The sequence below is a fragment of the Homo sapiens genome, chromosome 5, assembly GCF_000001405.40.
Source record: "Homo sapiens chromosome 5, GRCh38.p14 Primary Assembly".
Classification (NCBI taxonomy): Eukaryota; Metazoa; Chordata; class Mammalia; order Primates; family Hominidae; genus Homo; species Homo sapiens.
This window is the reverse complement of record NC_000005.10, coordinates 43,262,182-43,285,311: the sequence shown is the minus strand read 5'-3', so window position 1 is coordinate 43,285,311 and position 23,130 is coordinate 43,262,182. Positions and strand designations below refer to the sequence as shown.

The 23,130-nt window shown below is 42.5% G+C and overlaps 1 protein-coding gene across 2 annotated transcripts in view; it reads right to left on the bottom strand.

Annotated features, from left to right (window-relative positions):
* Positions 1-4,461: 4,461 nt before the first annotated feature.
* NIM1K (NIM1 serine/threonine protein kinase) overlaps positions 4,462-23,130 on the bottom strand; it is an 88,626-nt gene continuing 69,957 nt past the window's right edge. For both annotated transcript variants that reach the window (NR_072980.2, NM_153361.4), the window contains exons 3-4: positions 7,987-8,255; positions 4,462-5,332 (exon numbers count right to left, since the gene is read on the bottom strand). Coding sequence is in view for 1 of the 2 variants with exons in the window: in NM_153361.4 (NP_699192.1) it covers positions 4,583-5,332; positions 7,987-8,255 (1,019 nt within the window). In the remaining variant the exon portion in view is untranslated. The remainder of the gene's footprint in view (positions 5,333-7,986; positions 8,256-23,130) is intronic.

Genomic DNA, 23,130 nt, shown 5'->3' with positions numbered 1-23,130 from the left:
GGAAAGGCAAATCAAAACCACAATGAGATAGCATCCCACCCCCAGTTAGAATGACTAATCAAAAGGACAATAATAAATGCTGGTGAGGATGCAGAGAAAAGGGAATTTTTTGTTTTCTTTTTGTATTTTTCTAGAGAAAAGGGAATTCTTATACACAGTTGGTGGCAATATAAATTAGTACAGCCATCATGGAAGACAGTATAGCAGTTTCTGAAAAAACTAAAAATACAACCACCGTGGGATTCAGCAGTCCACCTACTGGGTATTTATCCAAAGAAAAGGAAATGAGTATATCAAAGCAATACCTGTGCTCTCCCATGTGTGTTGCAGCACTATTCTCAATAGCAGAGATGGGACCAACATAAGTTTCCATCAACGGATGGATAAAGAAAATGTATATAAACACAATGGAATATTCAGCCATAAAAAAGAATAAAATCAGCCAGGCGTGATGGCTCATGCCTGTAATCACAGCACTTTGGGAGGCCAAGGTGGGCAGATCACATGAGGGTAGGAGTTCAAGACCAGCCTGGCCAACATGGTGAAACCCCATCGCTACTAGAAATACAAAAAATTAGCTGGGCGTGGTGGCAGGCGACTGTCATCCCAGCTACCGGGAGGCTGAGGCAGGAGAATCTCTTGAACCCGGGAGGTGGAGGTTGCAGTGAGCTGAGATGGCACCACTGTACTCCACCCTGGGCGACAGAGTGAGACTCTGTCTCAAAAAAAAAAAAAAAAAAAAAAAAAAATGAAATCATGTCATTTGCAGCATCATGGATGGAACTGGAGGTCATTAGGTTAAGTGAAATCAGCCAGGCACAGAAAGACAAATATCACATGTTCTTGTATATAAAGCTAAAAAGTTGATCTCATGGAGGTAGAAAGTAGAATGGTGCTTAATAAGCTGAGAAGGATGGTAGGGGTGGAGGATGAAGACAGGTTGGTTAATGGGTACAAACATACAGTTAGAAGGAATAAGTTATACTATTTGATAGCAGAGCAGGGTGACTACAGTTAATAATAATTTATCATATATTTCAAAATAGCTGGAAAAGTTGAAGTCTTCCTAACACCAAAAAATGATAAATGTTTGAGGTGATGGGGTATCCTAAATACCCTGATTTGATCATTACACCTTGTATACATGTATCAAAATATCACATGTACCCCATAAATATGTACAATTCTGTATGAATAGAAAATAATTTTTTTAAAAAAAGAATGCACTGGTGAGGGCTGCAGCAGCACGTAAGAAAAGCTCAGTGGTGGCTGCCCATTGCAGGCAGGGGTTGATGGTAGGAAATGCTGCCATGGAATTGAGCATGATATCATCAGTGGGGATGATGAGACTAGAATGGTAGAGGTCATGTATTATTACTTAAATGTCAGAGGCCAGGTGGACACAATATAATAAACAGTAAGGCTGGAGTGGAAATCAATCAGGCTGCCTTGATCTGCAGGGCTTTGTGACAATGGCTAATAAATCATGGAATTTTGGGAGACAGCTGACTACTATGTTACTTGACTTGTATGACCAAAATAAAGAAAAAACAAGGAAAACTGGTGAGCATAAAGCTAAGGTAGCCTGTCACAATGGGAAAATCACGGTCTCTTCATCAGCTTCCAGAGCTAAGTCAATTTACAGATCCAGTGCACAATGAAAAGGAGGACTGGTCTTGAGGAAAGGCCTTGCTTTCACAAGTATATATGATGTACATACCCAGAATTTTTCAGAACCGGATACCATTATGGCTTTGTACGTAGATGAGGGGTTATGGAAACCATATGATAAAGGGAGTCCTGGCCAAAGTCTATCACATAATGGTTCCCACCTTGGAATTATTCTCCCAACCTCTAAGTACATATTTGGGATCAATATACTTAGACCTCTGTGGAGGTCTTAGACCTGTGAAGTAACAACCATTATGGGAGAAAGAGGAAACCTCTTTCTGGCCATGTTAATAAATCATGAGCAATCCACATGAGGAATGGCAGACATCAGTGTCACCATCAAAAAATTTTGGGATGCAAGTGTAATGGGCTCCATCATAATCTCATTTAAGTTACCATTACACTTCTGAAAAAGAGCAGATGGATAATGGAGAATGATGGTGGACTACTGCTAGTCTCAGTTGTAGCTGCCATATTGGATGTGGTATCTTTACTGGCAGCCTCTGGCATTTGATATGCAGCTATTGATTTGGCAAATTCATTCTTCTAAATTTCCATCAGAAAGGAGGATCAAAAGCAGTTCACATTTCTCTGGGATGGAGAGCGATTCTCATTTACTCTATTGCCCCAAAACAATCTTAAATCTCCTTCTCTATATCACAATATAATCCAAAAGGACCTTGATCATCTTGACATTCTACAGGACATCATGCTGGCCCACTATATTGTGAGAGCATGCTAGGGGGATTGGCTATCAGGAAGTGGCAAGTATTACCAATGCCCTAGTAAGGCTTACATGTGCCAGGGTGTGGATTATAGACTCTATGAAGAATCTGGGGCATGCCACATTGATGAAGAGTTTAGAAGACCAATGAGTTGAGGCATGCCTAGATATTTCTTCTATAGTAAAGAACAATTTCTTGCACCTCCCACCTCTTAACACTAAGATAGAGGCATAGGATTTAGTAGGTCCCTCTGGACTTTGGAAGCACATATATTGTATCTGGTGTATTCCTCCCACCCATTTAACACGGCTGCCAGTTTCAAGTGGATCCCATAAAAGAAAGATTGCAGCAATTTTGGCTTCTGAGCAAACTGCTACTCAGGCTGTGTAGTGTGGGGCCTCTGGAAAGCCCCAATAAGAGATAACAGCACAGCTCTGTGGGATCCTGTAGTAACGCCATGCTTCCTGCGACAGAACTACTCAGACTCCCGATGTGCTACTGGGCCCCAGTGGAGGCTGAGAACCTGATTATGAGATACTGAGGACTAGGCAAACAGAGCTGTTAACGTATGAGCTGGGCATTATCAGATCCATGGAGTCATGAATTCAGATGGGCCCAGGAGTGATTCATCCTTATTGGAATTGATATCTCAGGGTATGGGTTTGCCTTTTCTGCCTGCAATGTGTCTTTCCATACAAGCACACTAAGACATAGAGAATAACTGACTCACTGTCATGATATCTCAAACATTGCCTCAAGGACCACTTTTTTGATAAAGGAGGTGGTGCAATGGGCACATGACAACGGGATCCCCTCATCTTACCATATACCTCAACATCAGAAGCAGCCAACATGAGTAGAACAATGGAATGACTCAGCTAAGACACCAGAGATGAGACAGCAGCCTGCAGGGTTGGGGTGCTGTCCTCCAGGATTCAGTAACATGCTTTAATAATGACTGATACATGTCCCTATCATTAAAACACAGGTCTGGAAACCACTAGGTGGAAGTAGATTGACTCCTGTCACCATCACGCAATTGGTGACTCACTTGATTAATTTCTATTCTTTTTTTTTCTACAATCTAGGCTAGATTAAAAGGTTTGGTTCCCAGGGGATCAGGGATGCTTTCATCAGGGGACTTGATAAGGGCTCCAGTGAATTGGAATCTACAAGTGTCACATGGTCACTTTGGGCTCCCCATGCCAGTGGACAAGCAGGCAAAGAAAGGAGGTATCGTACTGGTGGTGTACCTCTTCCCTCCTGCTCCAAGACTTCTCTGACATGAAGGCAAGGGAAGCTTAGGGAACCCACTTGGCATTCACACAGCCCAATCTGGGAGTGCAGGGCAGATGACACAAAGGGCCACCCTTGATCAGCGGTGAGCAAGAGCTTATGGTTAAATGCTTTCCCCTTTCATACCCAGGGCAGACACCTGAGATGTGTTTCATCAGGCTCCTCTGAGGATCCTGCAAAACCAAGCACCAGAAACTGTAGCACTAGCTAACTTGCTAATGTGTCTGTGTATTAGCTTTCCCTGTTTCCTCTGTCCTTCACTCCTGTGCTCTGGGATCAGTTCCCAAATAAACTACTTTATATGGAAGCCTTTGTCTTAGGCTCTGTTTTGGGGGGAACTGAGTCTGAAACCCCTAGCTGCCTGGAATGCTCTGGCATTTTGTAAAAGTCACTCCTGCTTCTCATTCAGATCTTAAACTTATATGTACTCAAAGTGGCCTTCCTTAATGACTAATCCAAAGTAGCAAGCCTCTGATATCAGATCACCCTTTTTGAATCCTCTGCATAGCATCTATCACTGATCTTTCTCTTTTTTAAAAAATGTAGTTGTTAGTACCTTTGTCCTGGGCTAGAACGTCCTGCACATGAGAGGAGGGACCTTGCCTATTTATTTCTTGCTGTTTCCCTAGCACCTTAAATAGTGCCTGACACACAGGAGGCACTGGATAAATATTTCTTGATTAAATGAATGAATGCTGAAATTTGATAATAAAACAAGATCCCAAATCAAGCCAGAATCTGAGCTAATAGACTTTTTGGAGAAAAAAAATGCATATCTCAAATTTAAGTTTATTTAAAAATTACAAAAATGTCTCCACTCAAGTTGTCCTTGAAAAAAATTTAGAAGCAGCAACAATCATCTTGGTTAGTTACAAGCAGTCTAGTGCAATTTATAAAATCGAGCAAAATTTGGATGTGTGTCTTATCCCTCTGTAGACACGGGACCCTTTTTTGAGGTCTCTTTCTTTAGGGTCTGGTAGCATCATGACTGGGACACTTTCCAAAGCCTTCTTCCTTTGGACTCTATGTAAAATAATTCTATAGACCCCTGTGATTGAGCTGCGAGCATCTCTCCCTTGGTTATTTCGAATATGCTCTTCTGTAATGCCCAAATGTTCTAAAGTGCTTTTGACCTCATTTTCTTCTTCCTTGAGAGTGCTGGTTTCCGACAAATGTTTGGGATCCAGTTGGAAAGGTTCCAAAGGTGTAGGGTATGGCACCCCTTGCATCCATTCATCATTCATGATGCAGTCGATTCCGTACCTCTCCGTGGGGATCTGCTGAAGGACTCCTCGGATGAGTCGGTGGCAGGGCTCTGACACGTGCGGCGGTACACTGTATGTGCCCTCGAGGATGCTCTTTTTTAGTTTGGCCACGGTTTCTGCCCGAAATGGCATGGTGCCAGTCACCATGAAGTACAAAAGCACCCCCAAGGCCCAGATATCCACGTAAATGCCGATGTAGTGCTCGTCCCGGAAGAGTTCAGGCGCAGCGTAGGGAGGAGACCCACAGAAAGTGTTCAGCATTTCACCTTTTTTGCTTACTGTGCTGAATCCAAAATCGCCCACCTTCACACAAGTATTACTGGTATAGAATACATTTTCTGCTTTCAGATCTCTATGAATAATTTGGTTTTCATGCTGTGGAAGAAGACATAGAGAAAAGTCATTTTTACAGTAAAATGTCAAAATAAAAAATGTATCAGTTGCTCTGAAACAGTGAGATAATGATGGTGGAATAACAAATTCAGTGAGGATCACCTTAAGTCATGATAGCAAACCCTGTCATAACCTTTAGCCCAATGTAATGCCTACACCTCCCCAAATAGACCAAAGTTCCTATTCTATGTGGTAAGGGTTGGAGTCTGTTCCACACATGTGGACTCAGAAACTAACACCAGAAATCAGACCCAGATCTTATGAAACTACACATTCTGAAATACAATGAAACAGTAATCCTTAGTTGTTGAGGTCATACATGGGTTTTTCTGGCTGATGGATCGTTTGACCAGGAAGGCTTGGAGCCCTCCCCTGACTTTCCGGCCATGCTTTTTGGGGTGGACTCTTTTATCCTTACAGAATTCAGCCGAAGGGAGGTGGTTGCATTTGGCAAGGATCTAGCCACAGAACACACTGTGGATTGTGGGCACATGCTCCACTCCCACCCTTGCATCCTGAATCCAGACAATCTTCAGAGGACCCTTGACCTGTTCAGTCCCAAGGGCTCTTGGAAAATGGCTTTGTGTTTGTCAGCTTTCCTGATGGCCCTCCTGGAATAAGAATCCAGGCTTTGGAGGGGACAGTCTGGTCAATTCTAGGTTCAACTATACCAGCTGGGTACTGTGAATGTCAGTTTCCTTCTCTGTAAAGTGGGATACTGATAACCATAGGCTGTGGTGAGAACTATATATGACGCTAACTACGTATGATGAGAACAGTGCTCAGCATGGTCTTGGCATATAAACAAACTCAATAAGATGTGGATCTATGGCTATGAAACACACTTCCTGTTTGCAGAGCGTTGGAGAAATGGCAGGGAGTAGAGCTGCTGAAGACTAACATCTGTACCTTCTATTGCTGGATTCTCTTCTGTTCTCCCACCAAGTTACTTTTCCAAGTAGAATGTGGAAGACTCTTTGCCCATCTGTTCTATTACTTGGTATGGGTCTGGCTTATTCTCTGGCCCTGGGAAAGCTCACCACAGCCCAAAGCCACTTAAATGATGATTGGTCATATATCACAGGTCTGAAACATCCACCACCACTACAGTCAAGCTCTTCTCCCTGGCTCACTTCTTTTTCTTCCTCCTCTCCTTCCCTACTGCTATTTTGGGCCCTCTAGGCCACAGATTCCCTTGCAAATTCTCCCTCTTTTGCCCCATTGCTAGCATGGACTGTTTTATCTGACTTTTTCAGTGCCTGGCATGTAATGAGGTTCACTGTGGCTCACTGATCCCAGTTCTTGCTCCTACAACCATGCAGGCTGAGAAGTGAATTGGAAATAGCCTCTCAACTAATATAGACCCTAGCCAAGTGTCTCTTTTCTGACAGATCCGTTCAACTGGGATCTGAGTAAAGATGGTGACTGACTAAAACTTTTGGTAGTAAAAGTGATACTCAGGCCTGCAAGTCAGGTTCCTCCTGTATGGCCCGCAATACGGCCAAAATTAAGGAGGCAGCAAAACAGCCAGTTCTTGGGAGAACTACAGAGTGTGCATTAGGAGTCCAGATTTATCTAAAGAAGTAACCAAAGAACTAAAATAAGAATGACACAAGCGGCCAGGCACGGTGGCTCACGCCTGTAATCCCACTACTTTGGGAGACCGAGGCAGGTGGATCGCTTGAGGTCAGGAGTTCAAGACAAGCCTGACAAACATGGTGAAACCTCATCTCTATTAAAAACACAAAATCAGCTAGGCATGGTGGCACATGCCTGTAATCCCAGCTACTTGGGAGGCTGAGGCAGGAGAATCGCTTGAACCCGGGAGGCGGAGGTTGCAGTGAGCCAAGATCATGCCACTGCACTCCATCCTGGGTGACAGAGGAAGACTCTGTCTAAAAAAAAAAAAAAGAAACAGAAAGAAAGGAAGGAAGGAAGGAAGGAAAAGAAAGGAAGGGAGGAAGAAAAGGAAGGAAGGAAGGGTGGAAGGCAGGCAGGAAGGAAGGGAAAAAAGAAAGACACAACCAAGTGTTAATCTACTGGGCACAGAGGCAATAAGAGCTAGGGGATCTTACTGAAGGCAAAATATCAGTATAACTGATGTGAGATTGAAGAACATCTCTCTCTCTCTCTCTCTCTCTCTCTCACACACACACACACACACACACACACACACACACACGGAGAGGGGGGGTGGGGGAGAGAGAGAGAGAGAGAACCAAGCTGGGCATGAAGTATGGATAGGATTTAGAATGTGAGATGTCATATGAGGGCATCCTAGACAGAAGTAGGAAAGCAAAACCAAGAAGCAGTGAGGAGCCAGCTATCCAGATAGTGGAAGATGAGGTTGGAGAAATGGGTATGGCCAGGGAGTGGGTGATATTCATCAGCTGCTCCCAGTGATTCCTGCCAATGTCTGCAGAAGCTAGGAGGTTGACGTGTAACTGGACATCCCTGGATGTTGCTTCACAGGCAAGGAGCATGATCCCAGCCAGACTTCTGACTCTCAGAAGGGACTACTGTCTGCTTTGTAGGACAAAAGCCCTCTGGGACACTTGAGGGTTAGTAACCTAAAGCCCTGTGCTCCCAGTGTCAGTGCAATGGGAGCAAGGTTCTCACTCGTCACCCCTGCTCACCATGTGCTTCACGGCAGACACAATCTGGGAGAAGATGAGCTTGCTTTCTGGTTCAGAGAGCTTCCCCTCAGTGCTAATTTTTCCGAAGAGCTCCCCACCCCCTGCATACTCCATCACCAAGTGCAGCTTGGATAGGGTCTCCACCACTTCGTAAAGGCGGATGATGTTGGGATGGTGCAGCTTTTCCATGCTGGAGATTTCTCGGGATAGTAGCCTCTGGGTTTTCTGGTCTAACTTGGTCTTGTCCAGGATCTTAATGGCCACCTTTTCTGCAAGGAAAAAAAGTAAAAATTGTGCCAGAATTCACAGGAGCATAGTTAGAACTGGAGAGGACCTGGATCAGCTCCTTTCCTTTACTAGACAGAGAGTGGCTGTTCCCAAGCTGAGAGAGCTCATCAGGGAATGACAAAGCAATGCTTAAGCCCAGCATCAGTGCCCTTCCCTTGGATCGGTGTGAGTCTTCCACACACAGGTTTTGATGCCAAGTCCTGCCTCCCAAGGAAAGTTTCCAGATAAAGCTAGAGCTCCTTTGCTAAGCCCGGAGAGAACTTCTTGATGAGACCCAGCTCATCTCATCAGCCTCACTGTCCATCATTCCTGTCCACCATCCCCAATGCCCCATGCACCCTTCATTGCAACCAATACAGAACTTTTTGTTGCTCCCTGAAAAGGGGCTGAACATTCATGCCTAGAAGATTTTCTCTACCTGGTTCATTCTCTCCATCATTCCTTCCCTGTTCTTTACTCTTGCTTTCACTCATCAATATAGTTTGGACATTTGTCCCCACCCAAATCTCATTGAAATGTAATCCCCAATGTTGGAGGTGGAGTCTGGTGGGACGTGTTTGGGTCATGGAGGCTGATGTCTCATGAATGGCTTGGGCCATCTCCTTAGTGATAAGTGAGCTCTCGCTCTGAGTTCACATGAGATCTGGTTCTTTAAAAGTGATGGGATCTTGTGGCATGTTCCCCCAACTCTTGCTCCTGCTTTCACAGTGTGATGTGCCTTCCACCTTCCACCATGATTGGAGCTTCCTGAGGCCTCTACAGAAGCAGATGCCACCACGCTTCCTGTACAGCCTGCAGAATCATGAGCTAATAAAACCTTTTTTTCTTATAAATTACTCAATTTTGGCTGGGCGCGGCAGCTCACGCCTGTAATCCCAGCACTTCGGGAGGCCAAGGCGGGAGGATCACGAGGTTGGGAGTTTGAGACCAGCCTGGCCAACATGGTGAAACCCTATCTCTACTAAAAATACAAAAATTAGATGGACCCGGTGGCAGGCACCTGTGCTACTCGGGTGGCTGAGGCAGGAGAATCACTTGAACCCAGGGAGGCAGAGGTTGCAGTGAGCCGAGATCGCACCACTGCTCTCCAGCCTAGGTAAGAAAGCAAGACTCCGTCTCAGAAAAAAAAAAAAAAAAAAAATTACTCAATTTCAGGCGTTTCTTTATAGAAATGCGAGAATGGCTTAATACACTCATCATTAATTCCTGATGATCCTTCAAGGTAAGCCTCAGAATGAACCTCTTCAGGAAGCCTCTGCAACACTTGTCCTAGGATGAACATGATGTTCAGATTCTGTGCACTTGGAGCCCCAATGTACTGTAATCTCAGCTAACCGGTCTGTAGATGTCACCTCCCTTGTTTATCTCCCTCTCTTGCCCCATTCCCAACATGAACTGTTTTATTTCACTCTCAGTGCCTGGCATGTAATGTCATGTACACGACACACCAGTACCCAGTGTTGACAGCGTGCTGGTGAGGCCAGGAGGAAATCAACACTGCAATGTGCTGCTGGCGGGAGCATTAATTGGTACAATGGTTCTGGATTGCACTTTGGTATTATGTATTGAAATGCTAAAAAATAGTTGCACCCTGGGACCCAACCATTTCACCTTTGGCAATCTTAAAGAATCTGATGCATGTACAAGGATGCATGTGTAAAAAGGCTTCTGTGATATTGGGAATAGCTTAAGTACCCAGCAAGAGAGATAGTTAAAATAGAGTGTGGTAGGTCTAATTTTATAATTTCACACCATGAAGCTATCAAAAGTAATGATGCTAACTTATTTATTAATATGAAAAGATGTCCACTATACAAGTGAGGAAAAATACAGATACACATTTGCATAGATAAAAATCTGGTAGCATATTTACCAAAATGTTTAGAATAGAGATTTTCTAATTGGCAGATCACAGATGGTTTTCCTTTCAATTTAGTTTTGCTTATTCATATTTTCTATTTTTTATCATGAATATAGACTTACTGTATAACGAAAATGATTAATGTTAGAAAATGAATGAATCTTGACTCCAAAGTGAAACATCATTCCTTTTTTGTTTTGGTTCAAACTGTACCAGACTTTGAATTAGATAACAAAGAGGTTACCTGGCAAGCAAACAGACAGAACAGGATCCCAAAGTACCTGTTTGACCTACTTACAAAATAACTGCTTTGAAAAACTTTAGCACTGGGACTATTAAAACGAAAATGGATACAGCTAGTTTAAAATAGGAGTGTTATTGGTATATTAAAGTAGGTCCACTGGGACTTCTGGAATGGAAAAAGGGTTCACTGGTGTCTGCGGCAGCCAGCCCGCCCCTCGCAGGAGGCAATACTGAGCGGTGGGAGGGCAGCTCTAAGGGAGCAGGAGCAGAATGTTTGCTCTGGGGCTTGAATAATCTCAGCTGGCAATCAGCCCCAGCAAAAGAACCTCCAATGGCAATCCTTGAGGCACTCTTCTTCCCCTTTCTTTTCTACTTTTCAGTCTTTAGGATTAAGAGTCCCTTCACCTATTTATCTGAAACAGAAACCTGGTTTTGTGTAGCATGTTGGGTAAGCTGTTGTTTTAAGGGCTAGATTAATGAATTCCACCCTTCGATTTCCTGTAGAAGAACCCACTGCTTCTCCTCAGTTCTCCCATTACTGACTCAGGTGTCAGTTAAGGTATCATCACTCTGCTGCCCCATCCTCCCTGTGGCCATCATACACCATTCTATCCACAGTGAGTGTTCAAGAATCAGGTGGTAGGTGTCAGGCTGCCATCACAAATGTCCCTTTAGCACCACCCTAGTTTTCTTTTTCTCCTTTCCTTTCATGGTTCTTAGCAAAGGCTTCCCTCCCAGAGCCAGGTCTAGAGTGTGGCAGGAGAGGCATTGTAAGGGTGAAAGCTTCCTTAAATCCTCTGCCCTAGGTGCCTCAATGGCCTCACCTCATGTGCAATCACCCCACAGGCAGGCCTCATAATATAAATGTATGATCATACTAAACACTTTAGAAGCCCTGGTATTCCACATTGTCGCTAGGTGGTAGAAACTGCTATTCCATGAAGAGCTAGATCTCTAAATCTGCTCTTTCAATAAATGTTCAATGAGCACCTACTATACACCAGGCAGTGAAAAAGATAAACACTATTCTCACAGTCCAATGAGAGAAAGACTAAAAAAAAAATCCCTTCTTACAAGCATAGCACCTATTAAGAAGAGATACAGACAGAGAATGGAAAGGCACTATCTGGGTAAGGGCACTTAAATTGTGACCAGGAAGTGAGGAGAGAGGCCTCATACTTGGCCTAGGAGCTTGGCAAGTGTGCTGCCCAGGCAAGACATAAGGTGTGTGCTTGAGGAACCCACTGTTCTGGAAAAGCAGAATGAGGAGGGGTGGCCCCAGATCAGCCTGGTAGTAGGAAAAGGTCAGATAAGCCAGGAGACTGCTTTAGAAATGCAGGCTTTAACTATAGGGCAATGAGAAAACATAGCAAGGTTTTAAGAAAAAGGGTTGTAATCTGAGTCCCATTTAAAAAGAGCACTCTGGGCCGGGTGTGATGCCTCACACCTGTAATCCCAGCACTTTGGGAGGCCGAGGCGGGTGGATCACAAGGTCAAGAGTTCAAGACCAGCCTGGTCAAGATGGTGAAAGTGAAACCCCGTCTCTACTATAAATACAAAAAATTAGCCAGGCATGGTGGCAGCCGCCTGTAATTCTGGCTACTTGGGAGGCTGAGACAGGAGAATTGCTTGAACCCAGGGGGCAGAGGTTGCAGTGAGCCAAGATCACACCACTGCACTCCAGCCTAGGTGACAGAGTGAGACTCCACCTCAAAAAAAAGAAAAAAAAAAAAGCACTCTGGCAAGATGTGAGAAGTGCAGAGAGGAGCAGCAAGCCTGGGAGCAAGTGGGAGTCTAGGAGGGGATGATAGAAACCCCAGAGAAAGGGTGCTCTATGTGGTGCAAGGGGAGACAGAGAGAAGTAGACAGATGGGAGAGGCCAGCATGCCCTTTCTCCAAATCTGATGAGAAGTCTGACACAGGTCCCACCTAGCGGGCAACACATTCTTTAAACCAGGACTCCTAGTGCCAGGGTGGTAATAGCAAAGCAAGGTTATTGTATGGAACAGGGAGTTAGTGGGGATGGTGAATCCTTAAGAGTAGCTGCCCCAGTGGAAGGGGTGGCTCTACTCAAGGCCACACAATGGTTACTATTTGGAATGGAGGCTCAGTGTTGTCAAACCTTCTGATTTTTTTTCAAGAGAAGCCAGACATCTGAAACTTTATGCAAAATCTTCCAATTATTAAGTATCAACAACTAATTCAAATTTTAAAACCTAGATTAGACCAAGCAAAATACGTCTACAGGACCAAGGGGACAAAGGGAAGGGAGCAGATATTAAAACCTAGGAAGATAGTTTTGTGTAGAGAGAAGCTGAGGCTTTCCTTCTAGACACAAAAGTTGCCTGAGTCAGCCTTACCGTGAGGGGCTGGGGGAATAAAATCAGGCCCTCCTTCTCCTTCCTTCCCCTGCAAGGGCTCCCTAGAGATCAAAGTCAACTGGAACCCAGAGGACTAAGGAGATTTGATGTAGTCCTGGGCTGAGAGCAGAATGAAGAAGGGTGGAGAGTAGATCTGGAGGGGCAGATAGAAAATATCAGGTACAGTGGGCTTAGGGGGAAAAGTGCCAGGAGCATTAGGAGCATAAAACAGGGGGATGTACTCCTGGTCTGGGGGTTAGGGAAGACTTTTAACACTTTCTCTGGAGTCCAAGAGTTAGCTAGAGAAAAGTAGGGAGAGGTTCTAAAAGTAGGGATGGGTAGGACAGAAGATCTTGAGGTAGGAAAGACCTGAAACATTAGGGTTATGGTCTACAAGCTTTTTTGATTGGCTTCCTTTGTCAATAAAGCATTTTTTTAATATTCAACATCATTAGTTGCTTTATTGATAATAGCTCCTAACTGCAAAGAATCTACATGTCCTCAGCTGGTGAATGGTTAAACAAATTGTGGTACCTTCATACGTGGAATACCACTCAGCAATAAAAATGAACCAACTATTGATACAACAGTTTAGATGAATTGCCCGAGAAGTATGGTGAGTGAAAAATGCCAATCCTAAAAGGTTACTACTGTATGATTTCTTGTATATAATTTTCTTGGAATGACAAAATTATAGAAATGGAGAACGGATTAGTGGCTGGCAGGAGTCAGGGACAGGGTATAGGGGGTTAGGAGGTGGCTACAGAAGAGCCACTTGAAGGGCCCTTGTGATAATGGACTTGTCCTGTATCTTTACTGTGGTGGGGAATATAACAACCTATTTATGTGATAACATTCCATAGAGTTAAAATACATACACATGCATGAATACAAGAACTGGGAAAATCTTAATAAGATCAGTGAATTAGATCAATATTAATATCAAGGTTATGACTATAGTTTTGCAAGATGCAAGTTTGTGTGAAACTGGGTAAATGGTACATGTGGTCTCTGTACATATTCTTACAACTGCATGTGCATAATAAAACATTTTTGAGCACTACTCTAATATATGTATACGTATTTATAAAGTGTATCCATGTACTACTGATTTACACATTTTCAATATATATAATCACAGAAATTAAAAATATATAATCACAAATAAATATAAAAGGAAGTTCTAGTATTTTTTTTCCTCATCCCAGTGAATCATCTTGGGCATTCTCTGGGGGTATATGCACCCTCAGAGATGACTGACTTTGAAGAATTGAAAGAAGAAAGTAGGGCTGGCATACGGGGAAGAAGGAAAAATATAAGCCAAAAAAGAGGCTGGAGAGTTGGCCACACCAAGGTCTTGTGAGTCATTTCACATTAAGGGCAGTAAGAAGCATGCTATTATTATTTTTGCCTATAAAAAGGTATTTCACATATATAAATTAAAAACCCACAAACTTAAAACTGCCACTTGAAAAAAAAAAAGAAGCTGCTGGAAGCTTGTAAGTAGGTAGTTACATGATCAGGCTTGTAATTTCTAAAACATCACCTCTGGCTGCTATGGGGGAAATGATATAAACATGAAGACAAATTACAGTAGCTTAATCCAATGAGGAAAGGAGGAGATATTTAGGAAGTGAAATCAATACCACTTGGTGTTTGGGTGTTAGGGGTTGAGGAAAAGGTCAAGGTTTCTCAGTTGAGCAACTGGGAGGCTGGTGACATTCACTGGAGGAGGATCTCTATTAATGTTATCATGCCTTCGGGCACTCCCTAAGTTCCCCTGTCTCTCTCCCAGGTTGTTGAGTTCACTTTGCTAAACCATGACTCTGGTTAAATCCAGCTTCCCACTACTCTCTGCCTGCACCCATGCTGTTGGACATAATGGCTTGTCTCACTTTGAATTTCTGGTCACTAACTTCAGTTGGCCCTTTAAAGCGCCTGGCAGACATACTTTCCCTAGTCCAATAAACCTCATACACTTTTGTATAACTCTTTCATGGCTTCTTTTCTCTCATCAAGTCTCTAATGCCTTCTTCCACTCCTCATTCACAGCTGGTAACCTTGCTTCCTACTTTATTGAGTAAAATAAGCAATAGAGGAGAATTTCCTCAAGTCCTTCCCACCATGTCTTCCAACCTACTGGAATCTCTCTTCCTTCATTTTACTTTGGATAAACAATTCCTACTCCTATCTAAGGCCTAGCTAAGACTCCTTTACATGTTGAATAGATTCCATCTACTCTCATATACTAAAGAGCAGCCCTCCAAAAAAGCTTTCTTTCTTCTCTCCTGCATCAATTTTCTCTTCCCACTGGATTGTTTCCATCATCACACATTTATGTCATTGATAAAAATCTTCCCCTCAGCAGAAACCTTACAAGCCAGAAGGGATTGGGGTCCAATCTTTAGCCTCCTTAAACAGAATAAGTGTCAGTCAAGAATTTTGTGTCCAGCAAAACTAAGTTTCATAAATGAAAGAGAAATAAAGTCTTTTCCAGACAAGCAAATGATGAAGGAATTTGTAACTACCAGACCAGCCATACACAAAATTCTAAAAGGACTTCTAAATCTTGAAACCAAAAGTTGACATGCATCAGAATAAAACCTCTTGAAAGCATAAAACTCACAGGGCCTATAAAACAATAACACACACACATGGCCGGGCACGGTGGCTCACACCTGTAATCCCAGCACTTTGGGAGGCCAAGGGGGGTGGATCACGAGGTCAGGAGATCGAGACCATCCTGGCTAACATGGTGAAACCCCGTCTCTACTAAAAATACAAAAAATTAGCCAGGCGTAGTGGCGGGTGTCTGTAGTCCCAGCTACTCGGGAGGCTGAGGCAGGAGAATGGCATGAACCCAGGAGGCGGAGCTTGCAGTGAGCAGAGATCTCGCCACTGCACTCCAGCCTGGGTGACAGAGCAAGACTCTGTCTCAAAAAAATTAAAATAAAAAAATAAAAACAATAACACACACACACACACAAAAGGATCCAGGTAATAATCAACATGATGAGGAGAATCGTACCTTACATCTCAATGTTAATATTAAACATAAATGGCATAAATGCTCCACTGAAAACATACAGATTGGCAGAATGGATAAAATATCACAAACCAAATATCTGCTGTCTTCAAGAGACTCATCTAATGCATAAGGATTCACACAAGCACAAGGTAAAGGGGTGGGAAAAGATGTTCTGTGTATATGGAAACCAAAGGCTAGCAGGAGTAGCTATTCTTTTTTTTTTTTCTTTTTTTTTTTGAGATGAAGTCTCACTTTGTTGCCCAGGCTGGAGAGCAAGGCGCAATCTTGGCTCACTGCAACCTCTGCCTCCCGGGTACAAGCAATTCTCCTGCCTCAGCCTCCTGAGTAGCTGGGATTACAGGTGCCCCCACCATGCCTGGCTAATGTTTTTGTAAATTTAGTAGAGATGGAGTTTCACCATCTCTGTCTGGCTGGTCTTGAACTCCTGACCTCAGGTGATATACCTGCCTCAGCCTCCCAAAGTGCTGGGATTTACAGGTGTGAGCCACCGTGCCCGGGTAGGAGTGGCTATTCTTATATTAAATAAAACAGACTTTAAAGCAACAACAGTTAAAAAAAAGAAAAAGACAAAGAAGGTCATTATAAAACCACCTTTGCAAAAATTATATCACTGAGACAATTATGGCAGTGGGGGACATCTGATCTAGCCAACCTCCCTCTTGCCTTTAGCCTTCAAGCTGCCTTAATTATTCCTGGGCTTAGTCTTGGCTAGCTTTGGGAGACATTTAGTTTGTAGTTTAAATGATAATAATCTTTCCCAAAACTCAGTCACCTTTGTAAAGCTAATGAGAAACCACCAGACTTAGGAGGAGGAGAAGAGCCTGAATTCTGCTAAGGTGTGGATATAAATGATTGACAGCCATTATTCCAGAGGTCACAGATATGCAACTCCCCCAATTACTCATGCAGATAACATCACTATTGTAGAACCTAAGATTAGCCTTTTGAGATATCTTTTCAGGTTTTTTGCATGTCTGACACCGATGGCTTCACTTGGACCCATATGGACCCACCAACCACTCCTGTGGCCCCACAGAAGTGACTCAGCACAAGAGGACAGCTTCAACTCCATATGATTTCATCTCCAACCCAAACAATCAGCAGCAAGCACCTGGTCTGGTCAGCCCAATCCCTTCCCCAAAACTGCCTTTGAAAAACCCCTAACCAACAAGCCTTTGATGAGATTGATTTGAGTAATATCTCCATCCTAGTTTGACCACATGGCATGACTGGCCTTGCATCAATTAAACACTTTCTTCACCACAATGCCATGAATTGATTTTGCTTGTGCAGTGGGCAGAAATAACCTGTTAGGTGGTTACAATTATATAATGATAAAAGGATTAATCTGACAAGAGAATATTATAATCCAAAATATATGTGTACCTAACTATGGAGCTCCAAAATTCATAAAACAATTACTGCTAGACCTAAGGAAAGAGATAATGAGCAACCCAATAATAGTGGGATACTTCAACACCCCACTGACAGCACTAGACAGATCATCGAGGCAGAAAGTCAACAAAGAAACAATGACTTAAACAATACTCTAAAACAAGTAGACCTAACAGATATTTACAGAACATCCTACCCAAAAACTATAGAATATACTTTCTTCTCATCAGCACATGGAATATATTCCAACATAGGCCATAAGATTGGCTACAAAACAAGTATCAATAATTTTTAAAAATCAAAATCATATCAAGCATCTTCTCAGACCACAGTAGGAAAAAACTAGAAACCAACTCCAAAAGGAATTCTCAAAACTATACAAATACATGGAAATTAAAAAATCTGCTCCTGTATAAATTTTGGGTTAACAATGAAATAAAGATGAACATTTAAAAATTACTTGAAATGAATGATAATATGACACAGTTGTCAAAACTTCTGAGATACAGCAAAAGTGGTGCTAAGAGGAAAGTTTATAGCACTAAATGCCTACATCAAAAAGTCTGAAAGATCACAACTTGACACCCTAACATCGCACCTCAAGGAGCTAAAGAAACAGGAACAAAGGAACCCAAAGCTAGAGAAGAAAAGAAACAACAAAGACCAGAGCAGAAATAAATGAAATTGAAACAAAAATATTACACAAGGTTAGTAAAACAAAAAGTTGGTTCTTTGAAAAGATAAACAAAATTGATAGACCATTAACTAGATTAACTAAGAGGAGAGAAGTTTTGAATAAGTTCAATTAGAAATGAAAATAGAGACACTACAACCAATGAAACAGAAATACAAAAGATCAGTTGAGATTACTATGAACATCTCTATTCACACAAACTAAAAAACATAGAAGAAATGGATAAATTCCTGGAAATTTACAACCATCCCAGATTAAATCAGGAAGAAATAGAAATCCTGAGCAGACCAGATAACAAGCAGTGAGACTGACTAAGTAAAATTTACTGATTGAAATTGCCAGCAACAAAAAAGCCTAGGGCCAGATGGATTCATAGCTGAATTCTACCAGACAGTCAAAGAAGAATTGGAAGCAATACTATTGAGATTATTCAAAAAGATTGAGAAAGAGAAAATCCTCCCAAACTCATTCTATGAAGCCAGTATCACCCTGTGTCAAACCCAGGAAATGACATAACAAAAAAGAAAACTACAGATCAATATTCCTGATGAACATAGATGCAAAAGTCCTCAACAAAATACCAGCAAACAGAATCCAATAGCAAATCAAAAACATAATACATCATGATCAAATGGGCTTTGTCCCAGAGATAGAGGGAAGATTTAACATACGCAAGTCAGGGGGGAGGTTCAAAGATGGCCAAATAGGAACAGCTCCAGTCTACAGCTCCCAGCATGAGCAACGCAGAAGACAGGTGATTTCTGCATTTCCAACTGAGGTACCGCGTTCATCGCACTGGGGCTTGTTGGACAGTGGGTGCAGCCCACGAAGTGTGAGCTGAACTAGGGCAGGGCATCGCCTCACCCAGGAAGTGCAAGGGGTCAGGGAATCCCCTTTCTTAGCCAAGGGAAGTGATGACAGAAGGTACCTGGAAAATCGGGACACTCCCACCCTAATACTGTGCTCTTCCAACAGTCCTAGCAAATGGCACACCAGGAGATCATATCCCGCACCTGGCTCAGAGGGTCCCACGCCCATGGAGCCTCACTCACTGCTAGCACAGCAGTCTGAGATTGAACTGCAAGGTGGCAATGAGGCTGGTGGAGGGACATCCGCCATTGCTGAGGCTTGAGTAGGTAAACAAAGCAGCTGGGAAGCTCAAACTGGGTGGAGCCCCCCACAGCTCAAGGAGGCCAGCCTGCCTCTGTAGACTCCACCTCTAGGGGCAGGGCATAGCTGAACAAAAGGCAGCAGAAAATTCTGCAGACTTAAACATCCCTGTCTGACAGCTTTGAAGAGAGTAGTGGTTCTCCCAGCACAGAGTGTGAGATCTGAGAACGGACAGACTTCCTCCTCAAGTGGGTCCCTGACCCCTGAGTAGCCTGAGCGGCACCTCCCAGTAGGGGCCGACTGATGCCTCACACAGCTGGGTGACCCTCTGAGATGAAGCTTCCAGAGGAAGGATCAGGCAGCAACATTTGCTATTCTGCAATATTTGCTGTTTTGCAGCCTCTGCTGGTGATACCCAGGCAAACAGGTCTGAAGTGGACCTCCAGCAAACTCCAACAGACCTGCAGCTGAGGGTCCTGTCTGTTAGAAGGAAAACTAACAAACAGAAAGGACATCCACACCAAAATCCCATCTGTAGGTCACCATCATCAAAGACCAAAGGTAGATAAAACCACAAAGATGGGGAGAAACCAGAGCAGAAAAGCTGAAAATTCTAAGAATCAGAGTGCCTCTTCTCCTCCAAAGGAATGCAGCTCCTTGCCAGCCATAGAACAAAGCTGGACGGAGAATGAATTTGATGAGTTGAGAGAAGAAGGCTCCAGACAATTGGTAATAACAAACTTCTCCAAGCTAAAGGAGGATGTTCGAACCCATCTCAAAGAAGCTAAAAACCTTGAAAAAGGATTAGACAAATGGCTAACTAGAATAAAAAGCATAGAGAAGACCTTAAATGACCTGATGGAGCTGAAAACCATGGCACAAGAACTATGTGATGCATGCACAAGCTTCAGTAGCCAATTCGATCAAATGGAAGAAAAGGTATCAGTGATTGAAGATCAAATGAATGAAATGAAGTGAGAAGAGAATTTTAGAGAAAAAAGAGTAAAAAGAAATAAACAAAGCCTCCAAGAAATATGGGACTATATGAAAAGACCAAATCTACGTCTGATTGGTGTACCTGAAAGTGACGGAGAGAATGGAACCAAGTTGGAAAACACTCTGCAGGATATTATCCAGGAGAACTTCCCCAACCTAGCAAGGCAGGCCAACATTCAAATTCAGGAAGTGCAGAGAACATCACAAAGATACTCCTCGAAAAGAGCAATTCCAAGACACAATTGTCAGATTCACCAAAGTTGAAATGAAGGCAAAAATGTTAAGGGCAGCCAGAGAGACAGGTTGGGTTACCTGCAAAGGGAAGCCCATCAGACTAACAGCAGATCTCTCGGCAGAAACTCTACAAGCCAGAAGAGAGTGGGGGCCAATATTCAACATTCTTAAAGAAAAGAATTTTCCATCCAGAATTCCATAGCCAGTCAAACTAAGCTTCATAAGTGAAGAAGAAATAAAATCCTTTACAGACAAAAAATGCTGAGAGATTTTGTCACCACCAGGCCTGCCTTCAAGAGCTCCTGAAGGAAGCACTAAACATGGAAAGGAACAACCAGTACCAGCCACTGCAAAAACATGCCAAATTGTAAAGACCATCGATGCTAGGGAGAAAACTGCATCAACTAACAAGCAAAATAACCAGCTAACATCATACTGACAGGATCAAATTCACACAAAACAATATTAACCTTAAATGTAAATAGGCTAAATCCTCCAATTAAAAGACATAGACTGGCAAATTGGATAGAGTCAAGACGCATCAGTGTGCTGTATTCAGGAGACCCATCTCACATGCAGAGACACACATAGGCTCAAAATAAAGGCATGGAGGAAGATCTACCAAGCAAATGGAAAACAGAAAAAGGCAGGGGTTACAATCCTAGTCTCTGATAAAACAGACTTTAAACTAACAAAGATCAAAAGAGACAAAGAAGGCCATTACATAATGGTAAAGGGATCAATGCAACAAGAAGAGCTAACTATCCTAAACATATACGCATCCAATAAAAGAGCACCCAGATTCATAAAACAAGTCCATAGAGACCTACAAAGAGACTTAGACTCCCAAACAATAATAATGGGAGGCTTTGACACCCCACTGTCAACATTAGACAGATCAATGAGACAGAAAGTTAACAAGGATATCCAGGACTTGAACTCAGCTCTGCACCACGCAGACCTAACAGACGTCTACAGAACTCTCGACCCCAAATCAACAGAATATACATTCTTCTCAGCACTACATCACACTTATTCCAAAATTGACTACATAGTTGGAAGTAAAGCACTCCTCAGCAAATGTAAAAGAACAGAAATTATAACAAACTGTCTCTCAGACCACAGTGCAATCAAACTAGAACTCAGGATTAAGAAACTCACTCAAAACCACTCAACTACATGGAAACTGAACAACCTGCTCCTGAATGACTACTGGATACATAACAAAATGAAGGCAGAAATAAAGATGTCCTTTGAAACCAATAAGAACACAGACACAACGTACCAGAATCTCTGGGATACATGTAAAGCAGTGTGTAGAGGGAAATTTATAGCATTAAATGCTCACAAGAGAAAGCAGGAAAGATCTAAAATTGACACCCTAACATCACAATTAAAAGAACTAGAGAAGCAAGAGCAAGCACATTCAAAAGCTAGCAGAAAGCAAGAAATGACTAAGATCAGAGCAGAACTGAAGGAGATGGAGACACCAAAAACCCTTAAAAAAATAAAAAAATCAATGAATCCAAGAGCTGTTTTTTTTTTGAAAAGATCAACAAAATTGATAGACTGCTAGCAAGACTAATAAAGAAGAAAAGAGAGAAGAATCAAATAGAGGCAATAAAAAATGATAAAGGGGATATCACCACCGATCCCACAGAAATACAAACTACCATCAGAGAAAACTATAAATACCACTCTGCAAATAAACTAGAAAATCTAGAAGAAATGGATAAATTCCTGGACACATACACCCTCCCAAGACTAAACCAGGAAGAAGTTGAATCCCTGAATAGACCAGTAACAGGTTCTGAAATTGAGGCAATAATTAATAGCCTACCAACCAAAAAAAGTTCAGAAGCAGACAGATTCACAGCTGAATTCTACCAGAGGTACAAAAGGAGCTGGTACCATTCCTTCTGAAACTATTCCAATCAATAGAAAAAGAGGGAATCCTCCCTAACTCATTTTATGAGGCCAGCAACATCCTAATACCAAAACCTGGAAGAGACACAACAAAAAAAGAGAATTTTCACCAATATCCCTGATGAACATTGATGCAAAAATCCTCAATAAAATACTGGCAAACTGAATCCAGCAGCACATCAAAAAGCTTATCCACCACGATCAAGTTGGCTTCATCCCTAGGGTGCAAGGCTCATTCAACATACGCAAATCAATAAACGTAATCCATCATTATACAAACAGAACCAAAGACAAAAACCACATGATTATCTCAATAGATGCAGAAAAGGTCTTTGACAAAATTCAACAACCCTTCATGCTAAAAATTCTCAATAAAATAGGTACTGATGGAATGCATCACAAAATAGTAAGAGCTATTTATGATAAACCCACAGCCAATATCATATGGAATGGGCAAAAACTGGAAGCATTCCCTTTGAAAACTGACACAAGACAGGGATGCCCTCTCTCACCACTCCTATTCAACATAGTGTTGGAAGTTCTGGCCAGGGCAATCAAGCAGGAGAAAGAAATAAAGGCTATTCAATTAGGAAAAGAGGAAGTCAAATTGTCCCTGTTTGCAAATGACATGATTGTATATCTAGAAAACCCCATCGTCTCAGCCGCAAATCTCCTTAAGCTGATAAAGAACTTCAGCAAAGTCTCAGGATACAAAATCAGTGTGCAAAAATCACAAGCATTCCTCTACCAATAACAGACAAAGAGAGAGCCAAATCATGAGTGAAATCCCATTCACAATTGCTTCAAAGAGAATAAAATACCTAGGAATCCAACTTACAAGGGATGTGAAGGACCTCTTCAAGGAGAACTACAAAGCACTGCTCAATGAAATAAAAGAGGACACAAACAAATGGAAGAACATTCCATGCTCATGGATAGGAAGAATCAATATCGTGAAAATGGTCATTCTGCCCAAGGTAATTTATAG